The sequence below is a fragment of the Homo sapiens genome, chromosome 7 (assembly GCF_000001405.40).
Source record: "Homo sapiens chromosome 7, GRCh38.p14 Primary Assembly".
NCBI lineage: Eukaryota > Metazoa > Chordata > Mammalia > Primates > Hominidae > Homo > Homo sapiens.
This window is the reverse complement of record NC_000007.14, coordinates 131,715,673-131,734,960: the sequence shown is the minus strand read 5'-3', so window position 1 is coordinate 131,734,960 and position 19,288 is coordinate 131,715,673. Positions and strand designations below refer to the sequence as shown.

General features: G+C 46.4%; 4 annotated features.

Annotated features, from left to right (window-relative positions):
- Positions 1,258 to 1,758: an enhancer, noted in NCBI's record as "H3K4me1 hESC enhancer chr7:131417962-131418462 (GRCh37/hg19 assembly coordinates)". NCBI's record gives its function as "activates a minimal SCP1, AML or CMV promoter by ChIP-STARR-seq in naive H9 embryonic stem cells {active_cell/tissue: H9 hESC(naive)}" and the evidence as "EXISTENCE:reporter gene assay evidence [ECO:0000049][PMID:30033119]".
- Positions 7,125 to 7,625: an enhancer, noted in NCBI's record as "H3K27ac hESC enhancer chr7:131412095-131412595 (GRCh37/hg19 assembly coordinates)". NCBI's record gives its function as "activates a minimal SCP1, AML or CMV promoter by ChIP-STARR-seq in naive H9 embryonic stem cells {active_cell/tissue: H9 hESC(naive)}" and the evidence as "EXISTENCE:reporter gene assay evidence [ECO:0000049][PMID:30033119]".
- Positions 7,626 to 8,126: an enhancer, noted in NCBI's record as "H3K27ac hESC enhancer chr7:131411594-131412094 (GRCh37/hg19 assembly coordinates)". NCBI's record gives its function as "activates a minimal SCP1, AML or CMV promoter by ChIP-STARR-seq in naive H9 embryonic stem cells {active_cell/tissue: H9 hESC(naive)}" and the evidence as "EXISTENCE:reporter gene assay evidence [ECO:0000049][PMID:30033119]".
- Positions 8,697 to 8,878: a silencer, noted in NCBI's record as "fragment chr7:131410842-131411023 (GRCh37/hg19 assembly coordinates)". NCBI's record gives its function as "represses an EF-1alpha promoter that drives an FKBP-Casp9 reporter gene in an ReSE screen in K562 erythroleukemia cells {active_cell/tissue: K562}" and the evidence as "EXISTENCE:reporter gene assay evidence [ECO:0000049][PMID:32094911]".

The following is a 19,288-nucleotide window of genomic DNA, read 5'->3' as shown; positions in this document are numbered from 1 at the left end:
GGCTCAGCAAACAGTGAGGGCTATATGAAGGAAGAGGGGGAAATGGAAGAAAAGTCCACTGGAAAGCAGAGTAATTGACCTTCAGAGAGTCTGTTATTATTCCCCCTTGCTCCCGTTCTTTCCTGAATCTAAAATGTGTTGCATTAAAAGAATCGGCCTGGCCTGCTTTTAGAAGATTCCCCCACTCTACCAGCCTCTGGAGTAGGGCAGACCATCTCTCAGCCATTTCTTCCATCTAAGCCCTCCACTGTCCTCTCTTCACACCCCACACTTGGTGAGCCCCAGAGTCATTTGTCCCCTAAGCCAACTTATCTAGCAGGCCTATTTATGAGACAGTTTTCATCAGACCCACACAAGATGAAAAATAAAAACAAGGATAATTCAGGTGTGTGTGTGTGTGTTTGTGTGTGTGTGTGTGTGTGTGCGCGCGCGCGCGTGCGTGCAAGGTAGCCAACCTTCCTTTCTTGGGAAAATTGTCCTTTATTCCAAGAATATTCCACTCCTAGGAATAGTCCTTTTTCATGTTAAAATATCCCTTCTTTCACGAATTGGTAATAGTAGTAACAGTGGGTTTTGCTGTTGTTGCTGCTACTGTTCTTTCTGTTCTTTTAAGGTGGGGAGCAGGTTGTTTCTTTTCTAACATTCTTGCTTGACAAAAGGTATCAGCTCCCTCCTGTTAGTCACGGTTTGTTTGATTTTTTTACTGGTCAGTGCCATGTAAAGACCTATAGTAACCCCCACCTGTCCCCCTCGCCTTTGCAAGACCCATGCAAAGGCCCCAGGCAGGTTCCTCCTTCTTCTCCCCTTCCCTCAAATTACTTTTTCACAATACAGCAGATGAACCAGAACTTGGAGGCTAGGGGCTCCAGGCTGGCAACCAACCCTTCCTAAGATAATTGTGGGGACCTGACATCCCGTTATGCTCAGGGGAGCTGCTTTGATGTCAGCCCATTGAAAATCACATCAGTCTCTGACCCAGGGAAGCTTCAAATTGTTTTTAAAAGGCTACTGGTAAGTATATGAAATATGGCGTTCCATCTCAAAACCAAGCCTGTCCTCTCTTAAAAAGGCTCTCAGCTCCAAATGAGGCAAGCGCCAGCCCAGCAGATACAACACACGCTTAGGACTAGCTTCCTCTTTGCCTCTGCCCAAGCCTCCCACTGCCTGCAAGTTTACCTCGGAAGCTTCCTTCTGCCTCCAGCTTTATCCTGCTTGTGATTCAAATGCAAAATCAGCCAAAGAGAGGACCACTGTGACAGCTGCTCCCTTCCTGGGACCACCACTGCCCCAAATCGGTGCTCACTGCCGCCCAGTTCATGTGCAGGCTGCAGCCTCAAACCCTGCAGGCCTCCTCCCCAACAGGACTTTACCCATCACCCAGGCACCTCAGGGCTACAGGAATAGGGTCTCCATATAGAGGAGTCCCTGTCGTCTCAATGAGTTTTTCCTACCTTCATCTTGTGCCCAACCATGCCAGCAAGCTGCAGGGTCCCCCACTATATACTTTTGTGATTCCCTAGGAGGTGAATTCGGCTGCTAGATCTTCTGGCCCCAGTTTCTTTTAATCTCACATACATATTAACTCATTTAATGTGTACTATTATTATTGACATTTTATAGATAGGAAAATAAGGTACGGAAAGGTCAGGCCGCACAACTAGTAGCTCGAGGAGCTGGGATTTGAACCCAGCAATCTGGCTTGAGAGTCCACGCCCTTAACCTCATAGTGTCACCCCTGTGCCTGGCACACAAGGGTATCCTGAGACCCAGAGGTTTGGACAGAGGTAGGATCCAGGGAGAACAGAGATCAAGAACTTATCTCCTGCCAGGCCCCATATAAGTCCTGCCAAGAGACCTCTTAGAGTCTCAGGAATGTGGAAACAGCTCTGAAGCTCTATGAAAGCTGCTTGCCTGACCCAGGAAGCTGTGCTAAGCCCCTATTCATTCAACACCCTCTTGTAGTCAGTAAGAGCTTCAGAAGGACACTAGGAAAACCTCTAGAGGCAGTTTAAGGCAAGACCCTGACACCTTCCTCACCGTCAAGGCCACCTTCCCAGACCCACCTCCTGCCTTAACTCACTCTCCAGGGCACCCCTAGATGTCTCTGAGGCCCACAGAGTTTAGGGGTCCACATGACAAGCAGTGGCCCATAGCAAGCCCCTGTGCAAATTACAAAAAGAAGCCTTTTGAGAGTGGACAAACCCCTGTGGAAGCACCATGCGGTAAGCAGAATGAAATCTGCATTCGAGCCCCCACTAACCCCCCAAATAGGTGCCTTCATGCAGTAAACAACTGTGTACTGCTTTGGGGGAAGAACACTCCAGGTGGAGGGAACAGCAAGAGCAAAATCCCGGAGGTGGGAAAGTGCTTGGCACCTCCAAGGAACAGCAAGAGGCCCTGGTGGCTGGAGCAGAGGGAGCTGGGAGAGCAGTGAGAGGTGCTGGGGCTGAGTCATGCTGGGCTTTGAAAACCATCACGAAGGCTTCGGCTGTTCCCTGAGTGAGATGGGCCCATTGGAAGCTACTGGGCAGAGAAATAATGTCATCTGAGTTACATATTTTTAAAGGTCACTCAGGCTACTGTGTTGAAAATTGACATGGGAGGAAGACAGGAAAGCTGGGAAGCTTGTGCAGTGTCTGGCCATGAAATGGGCATGGCCCAGGCCAGGCAAGTGGAAAAGATGGGAAAGTGGTTGGAATCTGAACCTGGATGATGGGATGTGGAGGATGAGAAAAGGAGTTGAGGAAGAATCGAAGATTTTGGGGTCTTTGCAATAAAAAGATGGAGTTGCCATTTATTGAAATCAGGAAATTGCAGGAGGAGCTGGTTTGGAATGGAAGATTAGGAATTTGAGTTTGGACGTGTTAACTTTGGGGTCCCCTTAGATACCTAAATGGAGGTGTCAAATAGTCAGTTGGATAAAATTGACAACTGATAAAATATGGAAGTGGTCAGCGTAGAGATGATACTTAAAGCCATGACACTAGACGAAGTCACCAAGGGAGTAAGCACAGGGAGAGATGAGAACAGGAACTGAGCCTTCAATGGCTAGAAGTTGGGAAGAGGAGGAGGAACTAACAAGAGTCTGAAAAGGAAAGGCCAGGCGTGGTGGCTCATACCTATAATCCCAGCACTTTGGGGTGCCAAGGTGGGAGGATCACTTGAGGCCAGAAGTTTGAGATCAGCCTGGGCAACATAGTGAGACCCCATCTCTACAAAAATGTTTGAGGCTGCAGTGGGCTATGATTGCACCATCTGCTCCAGGCTGGGTGACAAAGTAAGACCCTATCTCCAAAAAAAAAAAAAACAAGAGTCTGAAAAGAAGCCACCAGCAAGGCAGGAGGTGTCCCGAAGCCAAGTAAAGTGTTTTGAGGAGGAGAAGTCAGCAGTGCCCAATGCTGCTGACAGGTCAAGATGAAGATGAGGAAGAACACCTGCCATTGGACTTAGCTAATTTCCTGCCACTTATTCTCTGAATAGCCTTGGATGAATTCATGTAACTCTGTAGGCACCATTTTCTCCATGGTGATAACATAGTACCTGCCTTGTTGGATGGTTGTGATGAGCTGCTATATTGAAAATAGAAAATAAAGTACCTGTCACCATGCCCAGCCCATGGCAAACACTCAGCAAATGGTGGCTATGAGTAGAATTAGATATTCCACTCACTGTTCTGCTCTTCTATTCTTAAGATATCGAAAGAAAGAAAGAAATGAAGAGGAAGGCAGATTATCTGTGGAAAGAGCTTCAGAGATCTTTTCTAGCTTCTTTTTCTCAGGCTTTGAAACATCAGTCTAATGCTTTCACACCAGGATGTCACCAAAGTCCTACAAGGTGTCCGATGATTAATAGGGAGACAAGCAGGGTATAATGCAACAGGGAGAATTCCAACAGTGTCCGAGAATCTCACCACCACAGAAGGCACCACTGGAGCAGAGCAGTCATGAATAAGAATCAAGGTGGATATGGAGGGAGGGGGCGGGGAAGAGGCTGCCCTGGACTCTATCCTGGAAGTTTACTACTGAAGCTCCCGATGATATATGAAGCCCTCACAAACACTTATACACCATTGGTGCGAATGTAAATTAGTTCAGCCCCTGTGGAAAGCAGTTTGGAGATTTCTCAAAAAAAATTAAAAATAGCTACCATTCAAGCTAGCAATCCCATTACCGGGTATCTACCCAAAGGAAAATAAATTGTTCTACCAAAAAGACCTGCACTCTATGTTCATTGCAGCACTACTCATAATAGCAAAGGCATGGAATCAACCTAGGTGCCCATCAACAGAAGACTGGATAAAGCAAATGTGGTACATATATGCCATGGAGTACAACTCAGCCATAAAAGATAATGAAATCATATGTTTTGCAACCATTGCAACATGGATATAGCTGGAGGCCATTATCCTAAGCCAATTAACATAGAAATGGAAAACAATACCTCACATATTCCCACTTATAAGTGGGAGCTAAACATTGGCTACACATGAACATAAAGATGGGAACAAAAGACATCAAGGGCTCCAAAAGCAGGGAGGAAGGGAGGGGAGCCAGGGCTGTCAAGAAGCCTCCTACTGTGTATTATGCTTACTATTTAGGCGATGGAATCAACAGAAGCCCAAACCTCAGCATCATGCAACATACCCTTGTAACAAACCTGCACATGCACCCCCTGAATCTAAAATTTAAATTTAAAAAAAAGAAGCCCTCACAGAGCTGAGAGCCCCATGAGTTACCATGACATTCTCAAGGGCAGCACTGAGGTATCCCTCATAAGCCCCCCAGCCCCTCCCAGAAAACTCCCTCCTGGGTGACAAAGCCCATCTGCCTGGGATCTGCCTGCTGCCCACCCCTCCATGACTGCAGCACCTCCCTGCCCTTTGGATCTCAGATGGCAAGGCCACCATATACATCCCCCACGGGCCATAAGACTTCCAGTTACCTTAGTCACCATGACCCTCCTACTGGTTCCCACCAGGTCAGAACTCAGACCTGCCTCCTCCCAGGGCTGCCTGGCCTCACTGCCTAGCCTACCAGAGTGATGTGGCTGGGCACATAGGAAACAATTCTGATTTCCTCAGCTCTGTGTCAGAGTCACAAACTCCTTCACTCATCAATGCATGTTTGCCTCTATCACCTCCAATCTGCCAGGCCAAACCCAAGCTCTTTTTGGGTTGCCATGGCAACTCACTTTACAACTACATTTGCCTTGACCCCAGAACCAAGGGACTAAAGTCTATGCTTGTAAATCTTTGGGGTGGCCATCGGTGAAGCTAGTGGACAGGCTGGACATGGAGGTGAGATCACAGACAAAGGGGGCACTTGCCCTGTTGAGGACTTCTTTGCTCTTTCTGCAATAAAAAATTGGAGTATGCAAATAAGAAACAGGACATTTTTCAAATCTGTCTACTTTGCCCTGGTCCTGTCTGCCATTAGCCCAGTCCAGGCCATCAGCTTCTCTTCCCTGGACTAGGCCAGTGGCAAACAGGACTGGAAGAAAGGGAAGCAACCTCCTAGCTGGTCCCCCTGACTCAAGGCCCCGCCCCCCACCTTCCATTCTCCACCCAGAGCCAAGCATTGTTTTGTAGCTGGGAAACGAATTGTCCCCCGCCCCACCGTGGGACACATGCCAGAAATGCCTGTTGTCCTCAAGATAAAGGCCCCTCAAGGTGCCAGGCCATTTATGTTCAGGCTCTGGCCACCTTTCAGTGCCTGCTGTCCCTTCATCCTCACCCCCTCAAACCCTACCCTCTATGATCCCATCACCCTGGGCTTTCTCTCCTCTCGGCCTTTGCACGTACAGTTTGATATGGTTTGGCTGTGTCCCCACCCAAATTTCATCTTGAATTGTAGCTCTTATAATTCCCACATGTCATGGGAGGGACCCAGTTGTAGGTAATTGAATGATGGGGGTGGGCCTTTCCCATGCTGTTCTCGTGATAGTGAATAAATCTCAGGAGATCTGATAGTTTTATAAAGGGAAGTTCCTCTGCACACATGCTTTCTTGCCTGCCATGTAAGATGTGACTTTGCTATTCCCTCATGCTGCCATGATTGTGAGGTCTCCACAGCCATGTGAAACTGTGAGTCAATTAAACCTCTTTATAAATTACCCAGTCTCGGGTATGTCTTTATTAGCAGCATGAGAACAAACTAATATACTGATCCCTCTGCCTAGGTTGCTCAGCCCCTTCGTCTAGTTAATTCCTACCCCGCCTTCAGGTCTCACTGTTTCGTTTTCACTTAGTTATCCAGAAAGCCTTCTCTGACAGCCACCAGCAATTAGGCTGGATGCCTCAGAGTACCCTCCCATGGCCACTTACCCATCCCCTGATTCTCTATGGGCTGTTCTGCCTTTCCACTGACTGTCAGCTCCCTGAAGGCAAGGATGACTGGTTTTGCTCACATCTGTATCCCTAACACTAAGCCCCTGGGAGGATACAAGAGCCAAGGAGTTTAGTGTGTGAATGAATGAATGGGAAGATGGGAGGGAATCTCTGCATATGAGACTGTCAGTATATCATTTCAACTGCAGAATATTAATGAAAGAGTTTGCTCAATGGTATTTCTCCAATTGCCTTGGCTTGCCGAATTACAGCTAAGGTCTTAAATCCAAAAATAATGGCATGAAGTGCTCCCTACATTCTTAAGGAAGCTGCCAGAAACTTTTAAGAAGGCCTTCCCCTCAACTACAATTACACCTGCCTTCCCTAGGGGAGGGGAGGAAGAAGCTTCCCAGAATCAAAGTCAAGTGAAGGGGCTCCAACAGAACCTTTTGTAGAGACAGGGAGTGCCTGGATCTCATTCAGTCCCAGCAGGAGGAGGTCTGCTCAGTCTTCCCCAGGTCTGTTTGGACATTTCTTCCCCACCACAGCAACACTCTGAGAGGCCATGTCAAGCTGAGCAGAGGGAGGAGTGGAGCCCTGAACGGATGCAAGATTGAGAAGTGAGTTCTACATTGGTGTAGACCAGGCTGCTTTTTAGTTCCACAAAGGGTCTGGAAATCCAGGGCTCTGTCTGAGATGTCATTAGGGCACAGGAAGGGAAACTCATCCTGGTGTCCTTTTATCCCTTTCAGCCCAAAATGTTCAATAAATGAATCCCATCAGGAAAGAGGGATTTGTGAATCATTCGCGTCTAGAGAAATAAGGCAGTTGGGGAATCGAATGAGGAAAAAGTTCTTCTCCAGCTCTGGAGATGAGCTTTTAGGCCTCCACAAAGCCGTGGGAGAATCTTTCTTCTCTTCTTCTTTCTGCCCCATCACTCCTCCTCCCCATGTTATTTCCCTGTTGTCTGGTTTTTTGTTCTTTTTGTGTGTGTGTGTGGTTTTTGGTTTTTGTTTTGAGATGAGGGTCTCACTATGTTGCCCAAGCTAACCTTGAACTCCTGAGCTCAAGTGCTGTTCCCATTTCAGCCTCCCAAGTGGCTGAGACAACAGGCGCACACTGTAGTGCAAGTTCCATCACAAAATGCTGCCACCCAGAACTACAGAAACTCCAGGGGGCACCCCAGTGGGTGTCCAAGGGGTGGCTCTGAGATGAGGGATGAGGTAGCTTGGCCCAGGGGCTGGGGGCCTCCCCTTGGGGCTAGAGGCTGCAAGGCCAGGCTCCCTGGACTGCTGTAGATGCTGGCATCCCACTCCTCTGGCTGGGCTGCAGGTAGTAAAGTCTGGCCTTCTTGTGGGAAGTGGGGATAGGATTGGAAGAAGGAAATCCTTCCTGTGTCCTGCATGGCTGCCTGGCGCTGGCCCTAGAGATGCTGTCAGGCTATCTGTCCAGAGGAGTGGACAATGGAGCTGCTGAATTTACAAATGGCCAAGCTCTGCACCTGGTTTCCCATGTTATTTTAATTATAAAATATGAAGCCTCTGGATGGAGATTCAGCATTAAAGTCAAGCATCCAAACGCTGAATCTACACCAATGCTACTTTCAAATAACCAGAGAAGAGGATACGAATGGGTGCAACATCTGGCTAGGATGTTTTCCTCCATTATTCATTAAAATGTGTGCTTCGGCATCCTGAAAGCACAGCATGTACCCAAATTCAAAACAAGTCTGACTTAGCCAGCACACATGGTACCCCCAGGCCTGCCTGGCTTTGGACAAGAACACAGCTCACAGCTCTGAATCCTGAGATCGTATTTCTGCCCCAGCCAGAAAATCCAAGCAGCCTATACAACAAACCCCAATCTGAGAGGAAAATTTAATTCCTCTTTGGTTCTTAAAATGATCTGGTTTTCTCTCTCCCCTCTTCCCTCTTCCCTGTCTCCAGCTCCTTCATTCCAAGTATTTATGATGTCATGACTCATTAACATTCTTCCCAGGACATCTTTAATAAATATGCAGGGGGGGAGCCTTTGCTTGGATATTAAATATTAAATTTATAAGACATATAATCCTAGTTAAGTTGAATGTAGTCTTGTGCATTAAATTAGGAGAAAGAGAGAGGGTATAAAAGAGCACAGTGGACACCAAGAAGCCCAGGAATCTGGCTACAGAGCTTGGCCATTTTTAAATTCTATCAGCTCCATCATCTACTCTTCCAGACAGATAGCCTGACAGCATCTCTACGGCCAGAGCCAGGCAGCCACTCAGGACACAGGAAGGATTTCCCTCTTCCAAGCCTATCCCCATTCCCCACAAGCAGGCCAGACTTTACCACCTGCAGCCCGGCCAGAAGAGTGGGACCCCAGTGTCTAAAGCAGTCCAGGGGGCCTGGCCTTGCAGTCTCTAGCCCCAGGGGGAGGCCACCAGCCCCTGGGCCAAGCTACCTCATCTCAGAGCCACCCCCTGGACACCCACTGGGGTGCCCCTGGAGTTTCTCTAGTTCTGGGTGGCAGCATTTTATGATGGAACTTACCCAAAGCATTTTCTCTGATTTAGGTCCTCCTTGTCCCTGGCCTGTTTAATGGCCCCTAAAGGAATGTCCCTCCAGGGTATCCCTTCCCATGCCTCACACACATCTGGGATGGCCTGTTCCATCTCCTCTTCTTCCTAGAAAGCATCAGGCCCTGGGCTGTGCATGGTGGCTCACGCCTGTAATCCTAGCACTTTGGGTGGCCAAGGCACCAGGTCACTTGAGGTCAGGAGTTCCTGACCAGCCTGGCCAACCTGGTGAAACCCCGTCTCTACTAAAAATACAAAAATTAGCTGGGTGTGGTGGCATGTGCCTGTAATCCCAGCTACTCAGGAGGCTGAAGTAGGAGAAGCACTTGAACCCAGGAGGCAGAGGTTGCAGTGAGCCATCTCAAAAAATAAAAAGCATTACACCCAGTTTTACTCACATCTTGCTCACCCAGTATTTATTGAGTCCCTACCATATGCAGCTGTCTTTCCAATTCTACAAGGAACCTCAGAGTAAAATTTGCCCTGCCCTCTCAGAGCCAGCCAGGCACAGGCTGCCTCTGGAGTCAAGAAGAAGGTGACCAGTAACTCCAGGACTGTGGATTACCAGCCTCCTCCCCTGAGCCAGGGCCAGGTGGGAAAGGAAAAGACTCAGTTGGCAAATGTTCTGAGGAGGGGCTGTGGTACCTGCTTAGCCAAAGTTCTCACTAGTGGACACAGTCAATTTCTCATGCCAGTTCAGAAACCCTTGATAGGATGGAAGATGTAAAAAAGATAAGCCATGATTCTCACCCTCAGAAGGCGTCTATTCTTGTTGCCTAGAGAATAAAGCTAGGCAGAAAGGAGTGAATGTTAAAATGTGTGGGACCAGGCACCCCCTGCCCTCTGCAGAGCCTCTCCTTATTTGCAAGAGTGCAAATAAGAACATGAGCAAAGGCCCTTGGCTCAGGGCCACCCCAGCAACTTCCTTCCATTCCTTTTTCCACACCCTGTGGGGGTTTTGCACATATGTGTAGACAAGATGGTCCATACATCCAAGTCCCCACTCTACTCCTGCCAAATAGCTGTCCTCTGTGGTCACACACTTAACACCTGGCAGGGGACTGGGCATCATTTGGGCAGGAAATTCTGGTGTCTCAGGTACATGAACATAGTCGAGAAATACTGTGCCCTGTGGGGAGGGGCCTGTTGCAAGGAGGGCCAGAGGGAAGCCTTCTAAAGTGCAAGCCCACAAGGCAGGAGGGCGGCTTGAGGCCAGGAGTTCGAGAGAAGTTTGGGCAACATAGTGAGACCCCATCTTTACAAAAATAAAAATAGAAAAATTAGCTGGGCATGGTGGCATGCACCTGTAGTCCTAGCTACTCAGGAGGCTGAGGCAGGAAGGTTGCTTGAGCCCAGGAGTTTGAAGTTATAGTGAGCTATGATTGCAGCACTGCACTCCAGCCTCAGTCCCAAAACCTGTCTCTAAACAAAACACATACCTTGTATCAGGTATTTTCATTTTGAGACAGGGTCTCAAAACTTCAAAAACTTATGGCAAACATAGCATAGGAGGCCTTTTTAATAATTCTTGCAGAAATTAGAACCGTAAGCTACGTTCAGTGGTACACGCCTGTAGTCCTAGCTACTTGGGAGGCTGAGGCAGAAAGATCACTTGAGCCCAGGAATTTGAGGCTACAGTGAACTGTGATCATGCCACAGCACTCCAGCCTGGGTGACAGAGTGAGATCCTGTCTCTAAAAAAGTAATAATAATATATCACAAGCCGAGAGAGGAGTCCCTGGCTATCTGGCTCTAGGATGGTGATAATGGGGACTGCATGTGCTTCAGGAATTTGGAGCAGGGGCTCAGGGGAAGGGAGACAGCTTCTAGGTAGAGGAGAACTAAGCAGAGTGTGCATAAGTGGGCAGAACCCAGAGAGACAGAGAGCATAGAGACATTCCAGAGAGGTCAGCTAGTGCAAAGGGGAAAACCGTAAACAGTTATGACATCATCGGCTCACTCAGGGGTAAGGCTATATCCTATGCTGGGAAGCATCACAGGGCCGAGTGGCAGGACAGAGAGAACAAAGCAGTCTCCTTTCTGACATCTTCTAGTGCTCCAGTCACTGCTGGAGAAGAAATACTGATATTTGTGAAGAGAAGCCCTTACCTACCTGCGTCCTCGTGTGACTTTGCCGGGTCTGGCAGCTGCTTTCCTGCCAATCGATGGGAAGTGGCTACTAACTGATGCTAGCTTTCACTGGTAACGGGAAAGTCAACAGCCTCTGGCCCTTTCTGTGAAGGAGAAAAGCAGAAAAGTGCTCAGAATCCTAAAAGGGAGACAGATCAAAAGAAGGGTGGGAAAAAAAAAAAAAAAGAAGGGTGGGACATCCAGGAGACAGAGAGAGGGGGTAGTTAGCTGTTCCACTCCCTAAAAGGTGGAACGTAGGCAGTCTTTGCTGCTCACGGCCAGGTCAATGAGCAGCTGCTGCTGAGCTCAAAATAAAATTGAAAAACTGAGGAACTACCACCTTCTCTGGAGCAAGGGAATGCAAGAACAGCTCAGCTTGGATTAGGGCTTGAAGCTATGAAACCCAAAGAAAATGCCAATTTCTTAGCACAGCAGAAGAAACAGGACTGGTCTGATATGGGATCAGGCTGGCTTTGGGGAGCTGGACCAATGCTCACAGAGCCGAAGCTCTTCTGCAAAAGACACATGCAGGATGATGCATCTCTCCTGTGCATCTGAAATGCCCACCTGGAAGCCGACTGGGTAGACCCAGCGGTATGATCACAGCAATGCTTTATAAATATGCATGGAAAAACCTGGAAGGAAACACACCTAAGGGTTTACCATGGCTATCTCTAGGTCATGCAATTGTGGGTGACTTTTAATTTTCTAGTTAAAATGTTACCTATCTTCCCCATCAGAGCACCCCCTTAAATTATGTTATTATTCTGAAGAGTCTGCATGCTATCGATGCTTAAGCTTGCAAGCGCTTGTTGCATTTGAAATGATCAGTCTGAAATCATGTCATCATAACTTTCTATGAGAAAGTCAGGAGAAGGCAGATACAGGCTGTGACCACAAGAACAGCTCCAGACAGACCCTCAGAGACAGAAGGCTGGTGAATAGACATTGGGTCAGCTGGTCAATACCCTTGGAGCCATGCCCAGCTCTCTGCACCTGGAGATTGCAGGTGGAAATAGCACCAAGAAAGGAAGACTTTGCCAAGAATGAGGACAAGCCAAGAAGTCCAAGAATGCAAAACATCAGTCGTAAGAAGTTCTACTTGACAAGCTGACCCTCTGTCTAGGAAGGGCCTCTGATATATGGGGGCTAGGGAGGGTATGGAATTAAAGGGGTATGCACAGATGAATGGGGCACACTTGGGCCTGATGGGAGACAAAGCAATTAGCCCGGAAAAAGGACAGCAGGATATGGGGGTGGGAAGGCCTGACGCAGAGCCTAGCCTTTCCCAAGTTCATCGTCAGGGATGAGCTCATTTGAGCTGGGCTCCATCAGCTCGTGATGACACCCAAGCCTTCTGGCATTTCCTCTGTCATCTGCCTCCATTATGTTTGTTCATGTTTTGGGGGAATTGGATTTTAGACTCCTGGACTGGAAAGCTCAAGGATAACAGGATTAGAGCATTTCCTGTGCCTTCAACACAGGCATGAAGAGAATCACAGCAGGAAGATGAGTTTGCCCAGAGAGAGACCCCATCCCCCAGAGTCACTTCACAGGGATGTGTAGGCTGCCACCTTCAAAAGCTGTGGCTCCTGGCTCCTCTCAGCAGCCCCTCCTTCATCTTCCAGCCCCCAAGAAGCAGCTTCAAGGTACAAGAGGGGCAGGGGTAGTGTCAGAATTCTTTCTGACGACGCACACCAACCTCTGACCAAAGAACTGACTGCATGTAAATAGGTGGCACCCAAGTGGACAAGTCTGCCATGTCCCCTCCAGCATCAGAGATCACATAGGTGGTATACATCTTTGTCTTCATTCATTCTACAATTTTTTATTGAATAGCTAGTGCTGGGCCACAAGACAGACAAAGACAAGGTCACTACTGTCACAGAATTGCATCCTAGTGGGAGATGGAAAAAGATACATAATAAGGACATAAGTTAGCAAAGTCTTATCTCCCCAACCTCTTAAGGTTAGAGTGTCCCAGGGCTCAGTCCTTGCACGACTTCTCTTTTCCATCTATACCCACTGATGACTCCCACACAAACGGCTTAGCCCAAGTGTTGTCTCAGAACTTGGACACTACCCAAATGTCTACTCAGCATTTCCATATGGAGATAGATATATATAAAATATATCATATATAATATATTATATGTATATGTGTATATATACATACATGTATATATGTACATATATATGCATGCATATATGTACATATATGCATGTATGCATACGTGTATTATATGTACATATATGCATATATGTATGCATATATTATATGTATATATTATATATTTGTATATTACATAATATATGATATATTTTATATATGATATATTTTAAATAATATATAAAACGATCTGTAACATATATAAAGTCAAATTTAACAAATTCAAAACTGAACTAATAATCTTCATAAATTCACTCCCCATAGAAACTCCCCATCTCAGTTAATGGCAATACAATCCTTTCAGCTGCCCAGGTCTCAAATCTTGAAGTCATTCTTGACTGGTCTCTTTTCACATATCCTATATCCAAGATGTTAATAAATCCCAATGATGCTACCTACAGAATATATTCAGAATCCAGTCACCTGCAAGGAGGTGGAGGCTGCAGTGTGCTGTGATCGCACTACTGCACTCTAGCCTGGGCAACAGAGCAAGGGCAAGACCCTGTCTCAAAAAAAAAAAAAAAAGAAAAAGAAAAAGTATGCAGCCAGTGAGCTCCACCCCACCACTGTGATCCTGAACCAACCTACCACCTTCTCTCACCTGGATCATTGTGATGGCCTCATAAATGGGCTCTTTGCATTCACCCCTGCCCCTACAGTCAGTTCATCACTCAGTAGCCAAAGGGATCCTGCATGGTAGGTGTCACATCTCAGGAATTGCCTGGGCATGGACAGTCATTTGCAGGTAGCCATGCAAAGTGGGAGCATCCAGGTCCTAACACTAAATCCTTTCGATAGGGCAGAATAGAGAATGGAGGAGGGCTTCTGCTATAGGGGTCGGGAGGAAAGGGTCTGTCCAGCAGGCAGCTCTGTATCCCAGGGGAACAACAACCTCTGGCAGGAGTCCAAGTAATAGTAAGTGAAGGAGAGCCCAAGGCAGGGAGATGAGATGTTCTAGGGAAAGAATGTCCAGCCATGGGGACACTTGGCCAGTGATTCCAAGAAAGCAGGAGAGCAGTACAGAGAGGAAAGGGGACCCCACCACTTTCCTTAAGGAAGTGCTCAGGTCTCTGTTCTCGGTTTACTCCAACCCTGAAGGGAGCTCAAGACTCTCCTCTCTGCCTCCATCTCAAGGACCAACAATCTAGACTGAGACCAAAGACACTATCAGGCCAATGTGATGGGAAGGAGAGACACAGGAAAGGTAAAGTACTGACATGGGAAATTCTGACTCTCATCACTCTGGAAGGTGAGGGTCTGAGCCTCTTGGCCTTTCCTTTAAGTGTTATGTGCACCTTCTTGTTTCTTGACCTCCCAAGAGAGCTGTTACAGTAAAATGGGCCAAGGACTTCCTCCCACCCCTTTTTCCATGCCCCACTCCCTAAACAAGAACTGAGGTGGGGCCAAGGGAAAAGAAGCCTGGCTGGATGCCAGGGGACCTACTCCTCTGTATGTGGTCTAAGTTGCTTTAGTAGAACCTGGGATTATACATAGAGCTTTAGGGCCAAATCATAACATAGTGCATATTTGTGTGTTATATAGTTGATATGGTTTGGCTCTGTGTCCCCACCCAAATCTCACTTTGAATTGTAATAATCCCCACATGTCAAGGGCAGGACCAGATGGAGATAACTGAATCATGGGAGCAAGTTCCCCCATGCTGTTCTTGTGATAGTCAATGAGTTCTCGGGAAATCTGATGGTTTTATAAGGGGCTTCCCCCTTCGCGTGGGTCCCATTCTCTCTCCTGCTGCCCTGCGAAGAAGTGCCTTCCACCATGACTGTAAGTTTCCTGAGGCCTCCCCAGCCATGTGGAACTGTGAGTCAATGAAACCTCTTTTCTTTATAAATTACCCAGTATCAAGTATTTCTTTATAGCAGTGTGAGAACAGACTAACGCAATAGTCAACATATATCTGCCCACAGAATCTGGCAGGGCAGAACATAGTTTAGCATTCTGACTAGCTCCTCTTCAGAGTCACAACTAACATTTGCAGTATAAGGCATGATGTGTGGTCGGCGTGCCTATCTATTTAGAAGACTAGACTATAGGGAATGAGTCTGCGGCCTCCTATTGTCAGACAGTCAATGCCACATCCATTTGCACTAGTTTAAACTCCTCTCTAAAGCCCCAAATGCAAATATACAGACACCATAAGCCCCAGGTCCCAAGAGTCCATCTGTCTGCATCAGCAGTAGCCTCCCCACGCCCACTCTCAACACCACCATCCATAGAGTAAACTTTGTGTCATTTTGCTCCTATCCTCAGCTCTAAGGCCATCCACGACCTTTCCTGCCTCCCCTTCCCATCTCTCCATCCCCTGGTTGCTGCTTCTTGAATTGCCCAAGGAGAGTGTGCAGTCAACACCATCCCATAAAGAAGCTGCCTGAACATCATATCCTGAGCATCCTAGAAAGGAAATGTAGGTAGTGGGTTGAAGCTGGCAGCCACTCGCTCTGTTTTCTCTCAAATCCCCACTCTAGCTGCCTTGGAACTCTCTGATTAACTCCGACATTGGCTGGTAATTTATCAGTAAGCCTTGGCAGAGCCTCTGTATGGGAAGCTCTGGGATGCAGCCATGCTCTGCTTGATGAGAATGGGAACCCCACAGAAGGAGGCTGCAGGTGGACAGCAAGTTACAAGAGTGTCCACTTCCCAAGGCCTTTCACACCCAGCAAGGCTCTCCTTCTGGGCATACAAACTCCTATGGATAGCTGTAATCATTTACCTAGAGGGGTAGTGCACTTCTAATGCATGTGTACGTGTGTATATGTGTGTTCATGCACGTGGGAGAGGAGGGATCAGACATTGTTATCAACATCATTCAATATAATCACACTACATTGGGCAGTATCCAGCCTACAAACAAGTATGGAATAAAAATGTCTGCGTGTAGACTCAACCCAGGTCAGAAGTCACCAAAATAGAAGGAAACGGCCTTGCTATCCACTTGCTTTTTATCCTAGCCACCTATTTTTATCCTGGAAAAGCAAAAGCATTCAGGCAGGGTGCGGTGGCTCATGCCTGTAATCCCAGCACTTTGGGAGGCCGAGGCTGGTGGATCACTTGAGGCTAGGAGTTCGAGACCAGCCTGGCCAACATGGTGAAACCCTGTCTCTACTAAAAATGCAACAATTAGCCTGGCATGGTGGCAAATGCCTGTAATCCCAGCTACTCAGGAGGCTGAAGCAAGAAAATGGCTTCAACCCAGGAAGCAGAGGCTGCGGTGAGCTGAGATCGCGCCACTGCACTCTAGCCTGGAAAACAGAGCGAGACTCTGTCTCAAATAAAAAAATAAAAATTAAAAATAGAAAAACAAAAGCCTTCTAATCAGATGTCTGCTTGAGAACAATTTTTAGATTGGCTGAGACATTTTACTTATTGTTGTTCAGAAGCGAGTGCAGGCTTGAAGGAACGGCAATTCATATGCTCTAGATCAATGTATTCTTACTCTTTAACAATGATTAGCACTTTGTATCTATGCATGAGAAATAGACAAATACGACAACGTCCTTGCCTTCACTATTTTCAGTCTTCAGAAACGTCAGTTAAAACTTTCTTTTTATGCGTATTCAAACCAGATATTGGACACCATGTAGATTCTTCCTAAAAAATCAATGAATTGACTTTAGTTTTTAGCAATGTGGCAGAAGAAATAGCCTCCTATTACCAAATACTAAGAAATGTTGGCCAGGCACGATGGCTCATGCCTATAATCCTAGCACTTTGGGAGTCCAAGATGGGCAGATCATCTGAGGTCGGGAGTTCGAGAACAGCCTGACCAACATGGAGAAACCCCATCTCTACCAAAAATACAAAATTATCCAGGAATGGTGACACATGCCTGTAATCCCAGCTACTCAGGAAGGCTGAGGCAGGACAATCACTTGAACCGGGGAGGTGGAGGTTGCGGTGAGCCAAGATCCACCATTGCACTCCAGCCTGGGCAACAAGAGCGAAACTCGGTCTCAAAAAAAAAAAAAAAAAAAAAAAAAGAAGGAAAGAAATGTTGGATAAAGTAAAACAAAAATCCTTTAAATGCATGGCTGATCTCATAAGAAAATTCTTAGAGACGGAAAAAAAAAAGGAAGCTGAAAACTAGAGTGGTAAGTGGTGCTGAGGCAATGGCTGTGTTCAGAGCAGTTTTTAAAAAGAAAGAAGCTTGGGTTTGAATAGCCATATAGGGATGAGACACAAAGCCTTGGGACTGGATAAAATGGGGAGGCAGACCTTAAAAAAACATGATCCTTGAAGTTTTATGGTCTTTGTGCAAAGGCAAAGTAAATATATATATATGCGCACTGTCAAAGGGAGGTGGCACAGAAGCCCGTCTATCTAGACTGGGGATCTGGGTAGCCAAGAACATCTTCTTAACAATTTATAACCACAGGCCTGCTCTACACTATCTGCATTGTCTCAGAGCCTCACAATTAAGAAAGCCACATAAAAGCAGCTCCTTCTAGTAATGCCTTGAGCACAAGACAGAAACAAATGTAAACCATCTCTAGAAGGAATATACTCTTAGATACGTTGCACAGAATACCACTAAAAAAGCTCCATTAAATGACAGCTGGAACTCCCAAACTGCAAAACACGTAAGGACAGAAGACAGAGTGAACGGGAGTTATAAGAAACAACAAATAACAGAATTTGACCCATAGGATTTTTAGTTAATAGAATTATTCAATGCAGACTATAAAATCAAAAATGCAAATTCATTGGTAATATAAAAGAAAGGGTCAAAAACTGAAAAGGAGCAAGGTTTTTAAAGTGACATAAAATTTCTATAAAGAAATAATATAGTTATAGGCCATGCATGATGGCTCACACCTGTAATCATAGCACTTTGGGAGGCAGGCCAAGGCGGAATGATAGCTTGAGCCCAGGAGTTCGAGACTACCCTAGACAACACAGTGAGACCCCATCTACACAAACAATTTTTAAAAATTAATTGGGCATGGCAGCACATACCTGTGGTCCCAGCTATTTGGGAGGCTGAGGTGGGAGGATCACTTGAGCCTAGGAAGCGGAGTTTGCAGTGAACCAAGATTATGCCACCACACTCCAGCTTGGGCAACAGAGAAAGACTCTGTCTCAAAAAAAAAAGTATAAAAAAGAAGAAATAATAGTTATTAAATTTTATAGAAACTTGGATAGATTTTCCTTCTTAAAAAACAGCTAAAAATGCTAGATAATTTTTTTTAATTTTATTTCTTTTTTTTTTTGAGACAGAGTTTCACTCTTGTTGACCAGGCTGGAGTGCAGTGGCGTGATCTCAGCTCACTGCAACCTCTGCCTTCTAGTTTCAAGCGATTCTCCTGCCTCAGCCTCCTGAATAGCTGGGATTACAGGTGCCTGCCACCACAGCTGGCTAATTTTTGTATTTTTGATAGAGACAGGGTTTCACCATGTTGGCCAGGCTGGTCTCGAACTCCTGACCTCATGATCTGCCAGCCTCGGCCTCCCAAAGTGCCGGGATTAGAGGCGTAAGCCGCTGCGCCCAGCCCACAATTTTCTTTCTAAAAACCTCAAAAAGCTGACAACTAGGGGATTATCAGACCAAAATCTATGTGACAAAGAAAATCAAGAATCTTTAAGTGACATTTGTTCTGAGAGCATTTGCCAAAGAAAAAGAACTTCAACCTTAAGTTTACTCAGCTTCACGAGGCTTGGGAGACAAAAGACAAAGTCCAAAGCCTGCCCAACATGGGGAATCTCATAGTGAATCTCTTTCCATAATGTTGGGAGCCCAAAAAGCTATACCCTCAAGATACACTTTAAATAGAAATAAGTCCAGCCCACCCTCACACTCTCAGGGGACCACATGAAAAGTTGCCTTGGTACAGAGAAGAGCAGGAATAAAACACTAACAAAAAAAAAAACCCTATTACTGAAAAATTGAAACCATAAGTCTGATTTCCGAATGGCCCAAATAACTTCAAACTATAAATTCAGCTTAAAGAGAACTGGTATCAGTGGTGTTCTTAAGCATATGGAAGAAATAAATGAAATCCTGTCTGCAAAAATGAACCTTCATCCTAGGCCTCAAAGAAATACCACAAATAAGTACCCATAAAAAATGTGCAGCTTAGCTGGGTGCGGT